Source organism: Homo sapiens, chromosome 16 (genome assembly GCF_000001405.40).
Source record: "Homo sapiens chromosome 16, GRCh38.p14 Primary Assembly".
Classification (NCBI taxonomy): domain Eukaryota; kingdom Metazoa; phylum Chordata; class Mammalia; order Primates; family Hominidae; genus Homo; species Homo sapiens.
Window position 1 is genome coordinate 47042606 of NC_000016.10, and position 17401 is coordinate 47060006.

Genomic DNA, 17401 nt, shown 5'->3' on the forward strand with positions numbered 1-17401 from the left:
AAAAAAAAAAAAAAAAGAGAAACCTTTGGGGAGATGCTGACCAAAATGTTCACTGTGGTTATTTCTGGGTGGGGGGATTGTGGGTGATCCTCGCTTTCTTCTTTTCTCATATGCGTGGTGTGCATGTGTTTAGTTTGTTTTCTAAAGTTTGCATACAGCCCCAGAGATAAAATCATCAAGAGAGGAAGAGAGAGAGAGAGATCTGCAAAAAGCCAGCAGGAAAGGCAAAGCAATGAAGAGAGAATAAAGCGAGAAAGAGAAGGTCCAGAAGAGGCAGAGGATACCTCAGGGGGAGGCAGAGGGCAGAGGGGACAATGGCTATTTCCTGGAGGCCTGGGTGTGGCCCTGGATGGGAGCAGCTGGTGCCCTCAGAACCCACAGTCTTGTTTTTTTTTTTTTTTTTCTGAAACAGAGTCTCGCTCTGTTGCCCAGGCTGGAGTGCAGTGGCGCGATCTCTGTTCACTGCAACCTCCACCTGCTAGGTTCAAGCAATTCTTCTGCCTCAGCCTCCCAAGTAGCTGGGATTACAGGCATGTGCCACCACACCCAGCTAATTTTTGTATTTTTAGTAGAGATGGGGTTTCACCATGCTGGCGAAGCTGGTCTTGAACTTTTGACCTCAGGTGATCTGCCCTTGGCCTCTTAAAGTGCTGGGATTACAGGCATGAGCCACCGCGCCCTGCCAAAGCCCATAGTCTTTCCAGGGCCCACAGGCCTGGTGGCGACTGGCCCCATAGCTGCTCATGGGCTGCCTCCAGATGGCACGACAGTCTCCCTTCCCTCTGGCTCTGTAGGCAGCCGCGGCATCTCTGCTGGTGATGGAGGCAGCAGATGTTAGATGTGGCTGCAGCCCAAAGTCCAGGCTGGGGCAGCTGTTAGGAGACAATCCTCCATGGGCCTCACATGTCTGCACATCTCGTGAGCAGAGGGTGCCTTGGTTCTAGGTGATCTTTCTAGGATGTTTGTACAACAAACAACCTTAGAGGTGAGTGTTAATGTTTCCTCCTGGAGCGAAAAGCAGATGTGCCCACTGCCCATTATAAAATATTCTGCTCCCCGGCTGGGCACGGCAGCTCAGGCCTGTAATCCCAGCACTTTGGGAGGCCAAGGCAGATAGATTGCTCCAGGAGTTGAGACCAGCCTGGGCAACATGGCAAAACCCTGTCTCTACTAAAAATACTAAAATTAGCTGGGTGTGGTGGTACATGCCTGTTAATCCCAGCTACTCAGGAGGCTGAGGCACGAGAATCACTTGAACCTGGGAGGCAGAGGTTGCAGTGAGCCCAGATGGCGCCACTGCACTTCAGCCCGCGTGACAGAGCGAGACACTCTCAAAAATAAATAAATAAATAAATAAAAATAAAATATTCCACACAACCCCTAAGGAGCCCTAAGCTCAGGGCTCCTTTTCAGGAGGTTTTCACTGCACACAACTTTATATGGTACATTAGACTCTTCTCAGAAACAGGGAGGCAGTGTAGCCTGGCAATTAATAGTACAGACTCTGAGAGGGAGCCTGCATAAGCTCAAATCTCAGCTCTACCACTGCTGGGCATGTGGCCTGGAACAAGCCACTTAACATCGCTTCCCTGCAGAAGGTGATCTGAGAGTAAACACTCTAAAGAAAGGGTAAAGCCGGGCCGGGCACGGTGGCTCACACCTATAATCCCAGCACTTTGGGAGGCTGAGGCCAGGAAGGATTGAGGCCAGGAGTTCGAGACTAGTCTGGACAACATAGTGAAACCCTGTTTCTACAAAAAAAAAATACAAAAATTAGCCAGGCATGCTGATGTGCACTTGTAATCTCAGCTACTCGGGAGGCTGAGATGGGAGGATCAGTTGATCCTAGGAGGCCGAGGCTGCAGTGAGTCATGATTGCACCACTGCACTTCAGGCTGGGCAACAGAACAAGACCCTGTCTCAAAAATAAATAAATAAAACATGAAAGAAAGAAAAGATGGGATGAAAACCATTTGGCACTTGTTCTATTAAAGATTAACACAGCCAGGCTTAGTGGCTCACATCTGTAATCCTAGCACTTTGCGAGGCCAACACAGAAGGATTGCTTTAGCTCAGGAGTTTGAGACCAGCCTGGGCAACATAGTGAGACCTCATCTCTACAAAAAAATAAAAATAAAAATAAAAAATTAGCCAGGCATGTTAGCACATGCCTGTGGTTCCAGCTACTTAGGAGGCTAAGAGGAGAGGATCACTGACACCCATGATTTCAAGGCCCATGATTTCAAGGCTGCGGTGAGCCTGGGTGACAGAGCAAGATTCTGTCTCAAAAAAAAAAAAAAAAAAAGAATACATGACTACCCTACGAACCAAAAATTGTACTCCTAGGCAGATACCCAACAGAAACACAGCCCTATGTGTGCCAAAGAAACATGGACTAGAATGTCCAAGGCAGTGCTAGTCACGATAGCCAGACTGGAAACTACCCAAATGCTCATCAACAGTAGATGAAAAACAATTATTTCCACAGGAGAGACGTTGATGAAACAATGAGAATGATTATCTAAACTACATACGACCACGTGATTGAATCCTGCAAATGTCTTGTGGGGTGGGAGAAGCTGAGTGCAAAGCATCTATGGTAGGACTCCATTCACAGATACAGAAGCAGGCATGCATGTCGGCCGTTAGAGGTCAGCTTTGGAGACAGCGAGTGACTGGAAGGGAAGTTTCTGGGAGCTGAGTGTGCTCTGTGTCTTGAACCGGGTGTGAATGTTAATGATGTACTTTTCTGTATGTAAATTATTTTCCAACAAAAATTTAAAAAGTGGAAGGCAATGGTTGGAATGGATTTAATTCAAGATAATGGGAGTGGGTTCTTTGGAGCCTGAAAGGATTGTTTCAGAAAATTCCACAGGCTCCTGTTCTCTTACAAGGCCAACAGTGCTGGAGCAGAGAGCATTTAGATGCCTTCCAGGAAGTGCTGTCCGTAATGGGACTAAGAGGAACGGGTTTAATAACCTTCCTATGCTGGCCGTACTTTGTGGTTTTCAAAGCACTTATCTGATCTGCATTTACTGAGTGTGAAAAAATTGTTATTTTAGTGGTTGGCACTTCTAAAGAAGGGTGCCCATTTAGGAAGTAAATTTCCCTTTCCTCTCCCCTCCCCTCCCCTCCCCTCCTCTCCTCTCCTCTCCTTCTTCTCTTATTTCTCTCTCTCTCTCCCCCCCCCACCTCTTTTATCTCTCTCTCTCTCTCTTTCTCCCTACCTCTTTCTTTCTCTCTTTCTCTTTCTTTTTTTTCCTTCAGGGCTTCACTCTGTCACCCACTCTGTCTGCTGGAGTGCAGTGGCATGATCACAGCTCACTGCAGCCTCAACCTCCCCAGGTTCTGGTGATCCTCCTACCTCAGCCTCCCTAGTACCTGTGACTGCAGGTGCATGCCACCATGCCTAGCTAAGTTTTGTACTTTTTGTAGAGAAGGTGTTTCACCATGTTGCTCAGGCTGGTCTTGAACTCCTAGGCTCAAATGATTCACCTGCCTTGGCATCCCAAAGTGCTGGGATTACAGGCATGAACCACTGTGGTTGGCCTGGATCATCTAGTTGCTCAACAGAAATGCAAAAAAAAATTTGAGTGAGGCTGGATGTAATCTCCAAGGATTCGCAGAAATCTTGGGGCACAGGGATATCAGTTTTCCATTGACAAGGGATCTGAGGTCCCTGCCAGTTTCATTTAAATTTCAAGAATAGGCCGGGAGCGGTGGCTCACGCATGTAATCCCAGGACTTTGGGAGGCCAAGGCAGGTGGATCGTGGATCACTTGAGGTTAGGTGTTAGAGACCAGCCTGGCCAGCATGGTGAAACCCCGTCTCTAATAAAAATACAAAAATTAGCGGGGCATGGTGGCACATGCCTGTGATCCCAGCTAGTCGGGAGGTTGAGGCATGAGTCTCACTTGAACCTGGGAGGCAGAGGTTGCAGTGAGCTGAGAGCACGCCACTGCACTCTAGCCTGGGTGACAGAGTGAGACTCTGTCTCAAAAAATTTTTTTTTTTTTCAAAGAACAGCATGACTGCAGCAGGCTTACACCTGGGTATGGGGAGATGGGGAGGAAGGCTTTGTGATCCCGATTACACAGGATAAATCAATCCCAGAGAGGTTAAGAAACGTGTCCGAGATTACATAGTGAGTGTGGCCCCGTGGGATTTGAACCACTGGGCATAGAACACCTGGAGAGGATTTGGACCCTGAAAGTCCTGCTCCTGCCGCCAGGTTTCCAGGCTGGCCTGACTCCTGCCCTCCTCCAGGCTGGGAAAGTCCACACAGCCCACTTTTTCATCTGTGAGCTGCCTGGAGCCTTCTGATGAATCAACTTCTCTGGCCTTGATAAGTCAGGGCAGGTTTCTGAGCTTGTCCTTGAAGCACCCATCTCACAGATGTGATGAGGCCTACCCTGTGTCCAGCCTTAGCCTGGTCCTGGACATGCGGACCCAGCCCCTCTCCTAGAGGAGCTCACAGTCAGGAGTGGAAGCAGGGGGCAGCTGTCTTCAGAAGGGGATGTGCACAGGCTGCCCGTTGCACAGTGCTGATGCTGGGCTTGCCCAGTGACCACCGCCCTCAAGGAGCTGGGGCTGGAGTAGTAGAGGATGGGGGAGGAAGAAAATGTCCCTAATTTGCAATGACAGGCTTCTAATCTATAAATAGCTTTCGGAAATAGAGCAGAGAGAGAGAAAGAGAAGTCATTTGCAGGCTTACATTCAATTCAACAGCAGCCTTTTTCTTCCTTCTGAGACAAGCTATTTGAGTCTATTCAAACTGAAAAAAACAAAAACCACTTTGAATGACCAAATAATCTATTCAGCCATCTTGATGCCTCTCCCAGCTGGGAATTCACATTTTAGGCAGCCTTTGTCCCAGGGGTGGGTGAAGGCAGGTGAGTTCTGAGTGTGGAGGTGGAACAGTGAATACCCAGGCCCCTTTCCACCCCTCTCTCCAAGAAGTGTACCTGCAAACTCCTCAGCACCAGCCGCCACCATGGGAGAAATTCATTAGCAGATCTGGTTTTGCATAATTTAGTAGCTAGCATTCACAAATTAAGTCTGCTGGCTCCCCTCGTGGTAATGGCCTTTAGAGAGATGTGAGAAAACACAGGCTTGTAATCCCAGCAGTTTTCTGGAGCTGATAATTAATAACAACAATAAACTGCTAATAAGACACATCAGTTTTTCCTTCCACTCATGTCTTCTTGCTTGTTCCTCACCACTGCAGAAGAGGAAAGCAGATCTGATGTCCTCCATCTGATAGGCAAGGGAACTGAGATCTGGGGAGGTGTTCCCAGCTGGGGAGGAGGCTGTTCTGGAATCTGCCTCTTCAGCCGGCCTGGGGAGGGTCCTGGTGCCCTCTGAGCTCAGGGCCATGGCCCACTCAGGAGGCCACTGGGGGACCATGGGAGAAGCAGGGCTCGGGAGCACTAAGCCTCTACCCACAGTCTGCATAGCAGGAACCTCAGTCCTTGCTGGAGTCCTTGGCAGAGCAAGTCCTTCGATTAGCAACACCATCAACAGCTGCAATAATCCAAAGCTAATCTTTGTCAAGTCCTTTCAGCCACCAAACACTCTTTCTGCATGCACCATCTCATCAATAACACACAGTTGCCCATGAAGAAGGTACCTATCACCTTTTTGCTTTGTTTTGTTTTGTTTTGAGACAGTGTCTTGCTCTGTCACCCAGGCTGGAGCGCAGTGCTGCAATCAAGGCTCACTGCAGCCTCAAACTCCTGGGTTCAAGCGATTCTTGCACCGCAACCTCCTGAGTAGCTGGGACTACAAGCGGCACCACATGCCCAACTAATTATTTTTTGTATTTTTGTGGAGATGGAATCTCACTATGTTGCCAGGCTTGTCTCAAACTCTTGGCCTCAAGCAATCCTCCTTCCTCTGCTCCCCAGAGCACTGGGATTATAGTCGTGAGCCACTGAGCTGGCCAAATATCACTTCAATTCACTGGTGAGGAAATGAAGGCTCAGAGAGGCTCCAACAGACCCCAGTTGGAGTGGCTTCCTGGTCCCCAGAGCGTCTCCTTCTCTGGGATCGATCTGGATGCAGGTAAGCCTGGCGGGTCTGCTTCTGACATATGGCCTTGTCCCCTTGCCAAAGCTGATTGGGCCAGGAATGGGCTACTGGTCTCTGTTTGGCCAACCACAGCCTCTGTCTGGGATGCGTTAGGCTGGTGCTAAGGCAAGGGAGGCAATATCCCTCTGGCGATGGCTGGAGCCATGGCAGCCCTGCTCTTCCCCTGCACAGGAGGCCAGGCAGCAGCAGGAAGGCAGCTTCAGAGATGGGGAGCGCAGGGACAGGCAGCATCCTGTGGTGTTTGAGTCCTTTATTCCAGTTGTCCCTGAGGCACCCCAGTGGTGACCAGCCCCGGTATCCTCTGAATAAGCCCCCTTTACTTGAGTTGGTTGGATTCAGGTCTCTGTCTCTTGAAACCATGAGTTGTAACCTAGGACCTTGGCTGGGGTCCCTGGGAAGCATGACGTGGCAGGGACTGGAGTCTTGTCCCCTCTCCACCAAGGCTTCCAGGGCCTCCCGGGACTCTCCTCCTTGTGGGTCTCTGCAGGGATTGCGGCAGCCAGGGAAGGCCCCTGGTTCTCAATGCCCGCTGCAGAGGAGCCCCAGTGAAGGGCAAATAGTACTGAGACTACACCCTCTCTGAACCCCCAAATCACAGCACCAGTGTGGCACAGGGCTTATTCATGCCACCCCTGTGTTCTGGGCAGGACTGCCCGAGCCAGCCATGTGGGGCCTTGATTTTTTGAGGGAGAGGAGTCCATGGTCACCTTGTGGTTGGCGGGGTTCGAGAGGCAAAGGTGTCCATGAAGTGGCCCCTGGCCTTTGCCCTGGGCAGGACTTGGAATCCCTGGAGGCTCTCACTCCAGGAATCAGGGTGGAGACATCCCCTGCCTTCTCCCCACTCACCCTGAGGGCCTCCCTAAGTGATCAGGAATCCAAAGTGTGCTTTCCATGATTTGTGTCTCCTCTCCATCCCCCAAATCCCTTGCAGAAAGGTTACAGGCTCCCACTGCGCCAAAGAATCCCCCAGCCCAGTGCATGGGCAGCTGCGCATGCAGGGCTATGGTTGGAGACCACGGCTCTGCCCACTGCTAGCCTTAGGACCTTTAGGCGCGTTCTTCAACCTCTGCATGTTTGAGGCTTCTAAATCCATCACAAAAAAAGACGACAGTAATAGCGAGTAACTGCCTTATGGAATGATTGTTAGGACTCAAAGACATATTACAAGTCAATTGCAGCACTCAGTGAGCTCAGTAAATGCTGGTTAGAGGCAGCAGGCCAACAGAGGGAAAGGGATTCGCCCAAGGTCCCACTGTAAGTCAGGACTCAGCTGGGACCAGAAGCCAGACCTCCTGGCCACTGGTTGATCTCCTCTAAAGACCCAGAAAGCACCGCACTCTCTCCCCCACGCCCACCCCAGCACCCACTCGAGCTGCCAAAGACTCGCAGAGGCATGTGGGATGCCCAGAACCAGGGCTTTATGTTTGGCAGCTGCCTTAGGAAGGGAATGCGCTGGGGAAGGGGCAATGGGTTTCTGTGGATTGGAATTTATAAAGTGACAGTTGGTTCTGGTGATTCAGGCAGTGATTTGTGATTTATTGACACATCAGAAAAAGCTGTCAACCCACCCCAGTCAGCTCCTTCTCTGGAAGGCACCACCAGCTGGGAGCCCCCACCCTCACTCCACCCCTAAACCAGCCCTTTGGAAGTGGGATGTGGGTGGCAGCCTCCCTCCCTCCCCCAGCAGGTGGGGGTATTGACCTTGCTGCCCACAGATGACCAAGGGACAGGGTGGATGTTATTTGGTGAGGGGTGTGCACCGTGAACTCTTTCCTTCCCTATGAACATTTCAGTGAGGTTGACGTTACTTGCTTAAGGGTGTACGTGCAAGCTCATTTCCGTGAGTGGGGTGGCGGGGCACTTGGGCAGGTCTGTGTGTCGAGTCCTGGGCTGTTCGGGAGAACAAGGAGCTGGCTTCTAGGATGCGGGGCTGAAGATGTAGGATGGAGAGGCCCCAGCTGCCATCTGGAGGATGTGGCTGATGGGAAGGGAAACCTCTCCTTTTCCTCTTCTGCCTCCAAGACCTCTTCAATTTTTGTTCAAATCAAGACCATTGGTTATCTTTACAATAATGGTTTTAAAAATCAATAAAGAAAATGTATCAGCAACTGAGAAGAGGTCTTGAAGGCAAAATAACTGGATGAAGGAGGAGCAGATGACAAAGGGGGAAAGAGTCCTAGAGGACGGCCAGGTCCCAGGAGAAGGCCAGGAGCGGGCTCTGACATGTGGAGAGCTTAGGCCGCAACTACGAGGACAGCCTGGGAGTTGTGCCTTCTGTCCACAGGCCAAGGTCTCTGTGGTTCACAAAGTCTTACATGTGGCTGAACCACATACACACCTGCAAGGAGGGTGGAACAAATATCACCATACTCCTAGGTCACAGGCGAGAAAACCAAGGCGTGAAGATGCCATGACTTTCCCAAACTCACATAGGCGAGTCACGGCAGGGCCTTGATGGACCCCCAGTAGCCCATCTGGCACCTTCGGGGAAACCCAGCCCTGCAGGTAGGTGCACAGCTGGCAGGTGAACCCTGCGAGACAGACGTGGGGCACAAGGCACACAACTGCACCCAACAGCCCTGGCTTGGGCTCGAACCGAGGTCTCTGAACTTCAAAGGCCCAGCTCCTTCTGCCCTGCTAGAGCAGTCCCATGAACGATGAAGGAGGATGAGGAAGGGCCTGGAACTCCATGATGGGCAGGCCCCTGGAGCATGCACTGCACTATTTGATTTTCTCCTGTCTGGTCCTGGGCCAGGCTTTTCTCTGGGTGGAGGTCATCGAGGCACATGCTGAGAACTGCCATGGGTAGGAGTGGCCCGCACTGTGTGCCTCTCCTCGACATGTGACCAGCTGATGCCCAGAGCTTGGTAGAGACTTCACACTGTTTCTAAAAAAAAAAACAAATCATCTTCTACAAAACGTCTATCTCCTGGTGTCACGAAGCCACGGACGACACCAGAAAAGGGTGGCCTGTGGAATGTGGCCTTCAGTTGGACACTGCCCTCGGAAATTTGTCCCCGACTCTATCCTTTTTTTTTTTTTTGAGATGGAGTCTCACTCTGTTGTCCGGGCTGGAGTGCAGTGGCGTGATCTCGGCTCACTGCAACCTCTGCCTCCTGGGTTCACGCCATTCTCCTGCCTCAGCCTCCTGAGTAGCTGGGACTACACGCACCTGCCACCACACCGGGCTAATTTTTTGTATTTTTAGTAGAGACGGGGTTTCACCGCAGTAGCCAGGATGGTCTCGATCTCCTGACCTCGTGATCTGCCTGCCTCGGCCTCCCAAAGTGCTGGGATTATATGTGTGAGCCACCACTCCCCACCTTCTATCCCATTCTAAGTGGTAAGTACTACAGCTGGAAAGGGGTAAGGCCAGGACCCTCCCCAGTGAGGACAGGGACTCTTTCCCCACTGTATGAAGCTTACTGCATCTGTCCCTGCTGCTGGACTCCAGCTTAAATGGTTAGCAAGAGGCCGGGCATGGTGGCTTACACCTGTAATCCCAACATTTTGGGAGGCTGAGGTGGGAGAATCGCTTGAACCCAGGAGTCCAAGACCAGTCTGGGCAATGTAGCAAGAACCCATCTCCACAAAAAAATAAAAATGTTGGCCAGGCACGGTGGCTCACGCCTGTAACCTCAATACTTTGGGAGGCCTAGGCCGGCAGATCATGAGGTCAGGAGATCGAGACCATCCTGGCTAATGTGGTGAAACCCCCGTCTCTATTAAAAATACAAAAAATTAGCCGGGTGTGGTGGTGGGTGCCTTTAGTTCCAGCTACTTGGGAGGCTGAGGCAGTAGAATGGCATGAACCTGGGAGGTGGAGCTTGCAGTGAGCGGAGATCGCGCCACTGCACTCCAGCCTGGTCAACAGAGTGAGACTCCGTCTCAAAAAAAAAAAAAAATGTTAGCCAGTTGTGGGACAGCACATGCCTGTCATCCCAGCTACTCTGGAGGGTGAGGTGGGAAGATCGCTTGAGCCCAGGAGTTGGAGGCTATAGTGAGCTGTGATTGTGCCATTGCACTCTGGGCAACATAGCAAGACACTGTCTCTAGAAAAAACAAAACAAAACAAAACAAAACAAAACAAAACAAAACAAAAAAAACAGCCAGCAAGAACTTTGTGAGCAGCCCCAGGTCCTGGCCTTGAGCCAGTCCTAGCAGGGAGAGAGGAAAAGGCTGAAGAGATGGCACACATGGTGGAAAAAGCTCAGCTTTAGGGGCCAGACAGGAGGCTTCAACTTGCAGTAACACTTCTGTTTGCCTGTGTGTCTGTCTGTCCACTTATCCATCCAATACCCAGCACCCGCTTTGTGTAGAAGTTTCTGGTGGAAAGTACTCGCAGACACTGAGGGGAGAGGCTGAATCCAGATAGCAGTTTTTCCCCTGGTGGGTTCACCACAGTCCCTGGTCCAACCCTCAGCCCCAGGCTCACAGTCTCTACCTGGTCAGCATCTCAGACTCAGGAAGGCCAATGCACACCTCCAGAACCCTCAGAGACAGAGGCAGAATATCTACTCACCGAGAGATCACCCGTGAAAATGAATACTGCCGGGTAGACCAGAGATCTGTATGGCCTGACCAGCCCTCTTTCCTTGCTGGCCAATGACATGGCAGGCCTGGGTTCATGGTGGGCACACGTGACGGAGGTCGGTTAGGGATTCCAGTGACTTGTGCCCTGGGAAGTGGTGGTCTTCTCCCAGTGTGGTCCTGCCTTCCTCCGGAACCCGTTAGGTCAAGCATTTCTTCTTTTAATGAACTGAGACAGGGCCACTTGCTCTGCTGGACACTGTTCTGGTCTGTCTCTGGCACTGGTTGCCCTCTCCTCTGCTTGCAGAGCTGGCCACCCCCTTCTCACAGACACATGCTGCCTTTATTTTTATTTATTTATTTTTTTGAGACAGAGTCTCGCTGCATTGCCCAGGCTGGAGTGCAGTGGCCACGATCTTGGCTCACTGCAACCTCCACCTCCTGGGTTCAAGCAATTTTCCTGCTTCAGCCTCCCGAGTAGCTTGGATCCCACCACGCACCACTAACTTTTTGGTATTTTTAGCAGTGACAGGGTTTCACCATGTTGGCCAGGCTGGTCTCAAACTCTTGACCTCAGGTGATCCACCTGCCTTGGCTTCCCAAAGTACTGGGATTACAGGCACGAGCCACCATACCTGGCTGGAACACATGCCGTCTTTAGACACGTTTTTGGTGCTCATAATAGGTCATGGTTGGCCTTGCTGTTTCTCTAGTGTGACAGCGCATGGTTCTGCTTTGCCCTGAGCTGATTTTATAGTTTAACTCTTGGAAAGAGACCTTTCTCTCTGTTTTCTTTTTCTTTTCTTTAATTTTCTTGAGGCGGGGTTTTGCTCTGTCGCCCAGGCTAAAGTGCAATGGCATGATCATAGCCACATGGCCTTGACCTCTTGGGCTCAAGCAATCATCCCGCCTCAGCTTCCTAGGTAGCTGGGACTACAGGAATGAGCCTCCATGCCTAGCTAATTTATATATATTTTTTTGTAGGCACGGGGTTTTACCATGCTGCCCAGGCAGGTCTCAAACTTCTGGGCTCAAGCAATCCTCCTGCCTTGGCCTCCCAAAACCTTAAGATTACAGGTGTGAGCCACTATGCCCATCCCTCCCTGTTTTCTAGTCTTCGAGGGCACCTTAATTCACTTCAAAACACACTCTCTTGGCACAAGGAACATGGAGGTGAACAGTACAGGTCTCTCCTGGCCTTCCTTACCGGTTGGGAGGGAAGGAAAGCCATGCCCTCGCTCATCCGGGCTTCCTTTCTGTGCACTGCAGGCAGATCATTTGCTTGCAAGGATGCAGGCTACCAAGGAAGCCATGGCCAGGCCTGGTGGGGAGCAGACGCCAGTAATGCTGCTGGGGCCACCGCTGTGGTATTCTGGGGTGCGAGGGCTTTGGCTCTCCTTCCCTTTGGGTGTCTTTCATTCTTGGGCTGTCCCTTCTGGGGAAAGGGAGTCCTAAGATTACTGATATTGTTAAGGGATCTTTGAGGAGGATGTTGATATTCTTCCTGGAAACTTCTGTGGCTCATGGGCCTTCACCTGAGTTCTAAATGAGGTACTCAGACAAGTGAAGGATGAAGAAGACAAAGAGAAGCTTTATTTAGTGTTAAAACAGCTCGGGAGATCCGCAGTGGGTAGCTCATCTCTGTAGGCAGGTTGCCCATCCAGTTCAGCTCTCAGCAGAGAGGAGGCCCTGGAAAGGGTAGCTCCTCTCCAGGAGGCTGGTTATTCCCACGTCTCTGCAGGTCTCTGAAGCTCTGAGCAGAAAGGATAGCCTCTCTCTGTAGCTGGTCTTCCTGTCCTCTCTCTGTCCTTCACCTTCTCTGCCCTGCTCTGGCCATCCTCTCTCTTGCTCTGGCTGAGCCCAGGGCTTTTATGTCGCTCAGAGGGGAGGAAGTGCATGCCCACTGGTCCATGGGTGGCCATGGGTGGGCCTGGAAGAGGCACCATGAGTCCGCACTCAGGTCCGCAGGACTGGCAGCCCAGCCCCCAGCCTTCAGGCCCTCTCTGGCCTGAAGGTGGGGCCTTACTGGGGTCCCCCGCTTCCACCCAGGAATCTGTCTGCCTCCTGCTGCCATTCATGACCCCTGGGGCTCGGCCCTAAGCCCTGCTCCAGTATCGGAGTGGGCGCCAGGACGGGAGAGAAACCAGGCAGCAGGAGCAGGGACAGGAGGCTGGGCGGTCTTCCCCAGCCGCCTTGAGGACGCAGGCTGCAGAGATGCACTGGGCCTGTGCCTGGGAGGGTGGCCGCAGCTGCATCCAGGAGCTCCTGTCCCACCAACCTGGAAGGGGCAGGACTCCCGCTTGTCCCCGGCTCCGGCCTGCTCTGTGAAGCGGGAGGCCCAGGTCTGCAGCCACAGTTTGGGGGACTGCAGCTGCACCCGCAAGGGCAGATCCTGCCTGCTCCCGGGCCCCCTTCAAGAGCACAGCGAGTCTTGGATCCACAGCCGCAGTTTGGGTGGCTGTAACCCTGCCCAGGAGGGCGGGGCGTTTGCCTGCTTCGTAGAGCAGGAGGTCTGGGTCTGCAGCCACGGTTTGGGCAGCTGCAGCGGCACCCAGGGAGCTACTGCCCCAGCTCAGAAGGGATGGGGCTCCCACCGGCTCCATGGAGTGTGCAGCCCACCGCTCTGCCTTCCTGCTGCCATCAGTATCTCCAGGTAAGGCAGGTTGCACTGGCTTTTGTGCCCTTCGTCCATCCTATCCTCAGCCTAGAGGTCTTAAGGGCTGAAAATGGAGTCAATAATTTGCCTTTTAGTGGAATTTTTGGCTAAGTTCCTAATGGTGCACTTCCAGCGAAGTGGGCATGCTTAAGTCTTTGTTAGAGCTTCCAAAATTCAGTACAGTAGAAGTTTCTCTCTCACTGGGGGACCTAGGGCAAGTAATTGAGCCCCATCTGAGCCTCAGTTCCTTTGTCTGTACAATGGGGATGGAAAATGCCAGAACCTATCCTACAGGGTCATTGTACGGGGCTTAGAACAGGCGCTGGTGTTGGCAGCCAGGAGCGGTGGCTCACGCCTGTAATTCCAGCACTTTGGGAGGCAGAGGCGGGCGGATCACAAGGTCAGGAGATCGGGACCATCCTGGCCAACATGGTGAAAGCCCGTCTCTACTAAAATACAAAAAATTAGCCAGGCGTGGTGGCACGCGTCTGTAATCCCAGCTCTTCAGGAGGCTGAGGCAGGGGAATTGCTTGAAGCCGGGAGGCGGAGGTTGCAGTGAGCTGAGATCACGCCACTCCACTCCAGCCTGGCAACAGAGCAAGACTCCGTCTCAAAAAAAAAAAAAAAAAAAAAAAAAAAAGAACAGGGGCTGGGGCTTGGGGGCAATTGCCCCCTAAATGTCAGCTCTTCTTATTACTTGGCCTGTCCTGGAAGCTGACTTTTTAAGGAGCAACTTTCTCTGCCTCTTTCTTTTTATTGGTTTTTATTTTCACTCATTCTAGTTGGAGGAGTAACTGTCTTTCTTTCATTCTTCTCCCTCCTTAGCCTCTGCCACACTCCTTGGGAGCCCAGCTCACTTTCTTCAGGAAAGGAAGCATCTGCAGTGGGGTTTGGAAATCTCATTGCTTGGGGGCCACTGGGGGTGCTTTGGCAGTGATGCCCCAGCCCAGAGAAGACCTCGCTTTCTTCTTTGAATTAACTGAAATCTCTGCCTCCCATGAGTTCTTGTCAGGAAAATTGCTCTCAATCACTTACAGCTATTTCCCTTTCCAAGGATCTAATTTTCCTAATTCCCAGAATGCTGCCCTAATTGTATTGTAGTTTCTGAGAAGGTGACGATGGTAGGGGCTGGGTGTATATGTGTGTATCTGTGTGTGTCTGTGTGTGTATCTGTTTGTGTCTGTATGTGTGAGGGTGTGTCTGTGTGTGTGTCTGTGTGTGTCTCTGTGTCTATGTGTAAGGGTGTGTTGTGTGTGTTTGTGTGAGAGGGTGTGTGTGTCTATGTGTCTGTGTGTGTCTGTGTGAGGGTGTGTGTCTGTGTGAGAGGGGGTGTGTGTGTCTGTGTGTATCCATGTGTGTGTGTCTGTGTGTGTCTCTATGTGTGAGGGTGTGTGTGTGTCTGAGAGGGTGTGTGTGTGTCTGTGTCTGTGTGTGTATCTGTGTGTGTGTGTCTGTGTGTGTCTCTGTGAGGGTGTGTGTGTGTCTGAGAGGGTGTGTGTGTGTCTGTTTGTGTCTGTGTGTGTATCCGTGTGTGTGTGTCTGTGTGTGTCTCTGTGTGAGTGTCTGTGTGTGTCTCTATGTGTGTCTGTGTGTGTCTGTGTGCGTCTCTGTGTGTGTCTGTGTGCATGTGTGTGTCTGTGTGTATTTGCCAAATGGGGTTCCCAGCACAGGGAATGGGGATCTCTTGGTGACTTCCTTTTAAAGCCTGCATTTTCCTGGACACTGAAGGTGTCCCAAAGACCCTGGCCTCCTTCCCGAGTCTCATCCACTGACCTGAGACAGTGGCTGGGAAACAGTCCTGGGGGTGAGGATGAGGCCACCTGATTTGACCAGGAATGAGTCAGAAACGTTGTGGACTTGAAGAAGGCCAGCTGGAGGTCTTGTTTTCAGCAGCCCTGCGGAGGGCAGGAAGGTTGGCAGAGGAGATGGCGTGAGCTCATGCCCAGTAGGACTACTGTGGCCCAGTAGGTCCCACAGAGCAATGTCCTCTCCTGTCTCCTGGCGTTTACTCAGGCCTGGTATGGCCAACTATTGTGGCCTCATCTGAAGCAATGTCTGTGTGCAGGGAAAATTCCAATTCTCTTCCACAGCTCAAACAGAACTTCTGGCACCAAATATGTGGGTTTTTCCACACTAAGCAATTCTCCAATTCTCTGCAGATACCAACTGGGCATCCAGTAACTCAACCCAATTCCCACAGGTGGAGGGCTGCTGCATTATTCCATAAGACCATTTCCCATGTCAGACACCAACTGCAGGTCGTGGGTCCCCAGGTTACCCACGCTTCTGTCCCACTTGGCTATAGATAAGAGGTTCCCAAAACCCCCTCCTTAGATTCAATCATTTGTCAGAATGGTTCACAGAACTCAGAGAAGCATGATTACTAGCTTATTATAAAGGATATTACAATTGGCTGGGCATGGTGGCTCACGCCTGTAATCCCAGCGCTTTGGGAGGCTGAGGCGGGTGGATTGCTTGAGTCCAAGAGTTGGAGACCAGCCTGGGCAACATGGCGAAACCCCGTCTCTACAAAAAATACAAAAATTAGCCAGACGTGTTGGCATGCGCCTGTAGTCTCAGCTACTTGGGAGGCTTAGGTGGGAGGATCATCTGAGCCTGGGGAGGCTGAGGCTGCAGTGAGCCGTGATCATGCCACTGCACTGCAGCCTGGGTGAAAGAATGAGACCTTGTCTCAAGAAAAAAAAAAAAGATATTACAACAGATACAGATGAACATCCAGATGAAGAGGCACATAGGGTGAGGTCTGGAAAGGTCCTGCGCTCGGGAATGTCTGTCCCCGTGGAGCTGGGGGGTGCCGTCCTCCCAGCATGTGGATGTGTTCACCACCCGGGAAGCTCTCCAAACCCTGCAGCTCAGGGGTTTTTATGGAGGCTTCATCACGTAGGCATGATTGATTTTTAACTCACTCTCCAGCCTCTCCCCTACTCAGAGGATGAGGGTGAGGTTCAAGGTTCCAAGCCTCTAATCATGGCTCTGGTGATCAGCCCCATCCTGGCACCAATCCAGAGTCATCTTGTTAGAACAAAAGATGTTCCTACCAACCAGGAAGTTCCAAGAGATTAGAAGCTCTGTGTCAGGAACCAGAGTCAAAGACAAATACAGTTGTCCTTCTGTGTTCATGGGGAATTGGTTCCAGATGATCCCCCTCCACTATAACCAAAATCTATGGATGCTAAATTCCCTGATATAAAATGGTGTAGAATTTGCATATAACCTATGTACATTCTCCCATATACTTTAAACAATCTTTAGATCAGTTATACCTAATACAAGCAAATAGTTGTTATACTGTGTTGTTTAGGGAATAATAACAAAGATCTACACAGTGTTCAGTACAGATGCAACCATCCTTTTTTTGTTGTTTGTTTGTTTTTGAGGCAGGGTCTTGCTCTGTCACCCAGGCTGGAGTGCCGTGGTATGATCTCAGCTCAGTACAGCCTTGACCTCCTGGGCTCAATGGATCCTCCCACCTCATCCTCCCAAGTAGCTGGGACTACAGGCATGTGCCAACACGCCTAGCCAATTTCTTTAGTTCTTATAGAGATGAGGACTCCCTTTGTTGCCCAGGCTGGTCTCAAACTCCTGGGCTTAAGGAATCCTCCCACCTTGGCCTCCCAAAGTGCTGGCATTACAGGTGTGGGCCACCACACCCACACCTAGCCCATTTTTTATTCTGAATATTTTCAATCAGAGATTGGTTGAATCCATGGATGCGGGACCCATGGATATGGAGGGCTAACTTTATAAGACCAAAAGATATATCTAGCATCCCTACCACTCAGGAAATTACACGGGTTTTAGGAGTTCTGGCTAGGTGCTGGAGACAAAACCCAAAATATATACTTTTTATTATATCACAATTATCACAGTCTGTGAAATCATGTATTTGATGAACTCACTGTATTTTTTTTTGAGACGGAGTTTTGCTCTTGTCGCCCAGGATGGAGTGCAATGGTGTGATCTTGGCTCACTGCAACCTCTGACTCCCTGTTTCAAGCAATCCTCCTGCCTCAGCCTCCCGAGTAGCTGGGATTACACCAGCTAATTACGCCAGCTATTACGCCAGGCACACGCAACCACGCTCAGCTAATTTCTGTATTTTAG

General features: G+C 51.1%; 3 annotated features.

Moving 5' to 3' along the window:
• Positions 4330-4409: an enhancer, noted in NCBI's record as "active region_10784". NCBI's record gives its function as "activates an Ori minimal core promoter by ATAC-STARR-seq in GM12878 lymphoblastoid cells {active_cell/tissue: GM12878}" and the evidence as "EXISTENCE:reporter gene assay evidence [ECO:0000049][PMID:35858748]".
• Positions 4420-4469: an enhancer, noted in NCBI's record as "active region_10785". NCBI's record gives its function as "activates an Ori minimal core promoter by ATAC-STARR-seq in GM12878 lymphoblastoid cells {active_cell/tissue: GM12878}" and the evidence as "EXISTENCE:reporter gene assay evidence [ECO:0000049][PMID:35858748]".
• Positions 10179-10379: a silencer, noted in NCBI's record as "peak2576 fragment used in MPRA reporter construct". NCBI's record gives its function as "represses an SCP1 promoter by STARR-seq MPRAs in K562 erythroleukemia cells {active_cell/tissue: K562}" and the evidence as "EXISTENCE:reporter gene assay evidence [ECO:0000049][PMID:32103011]".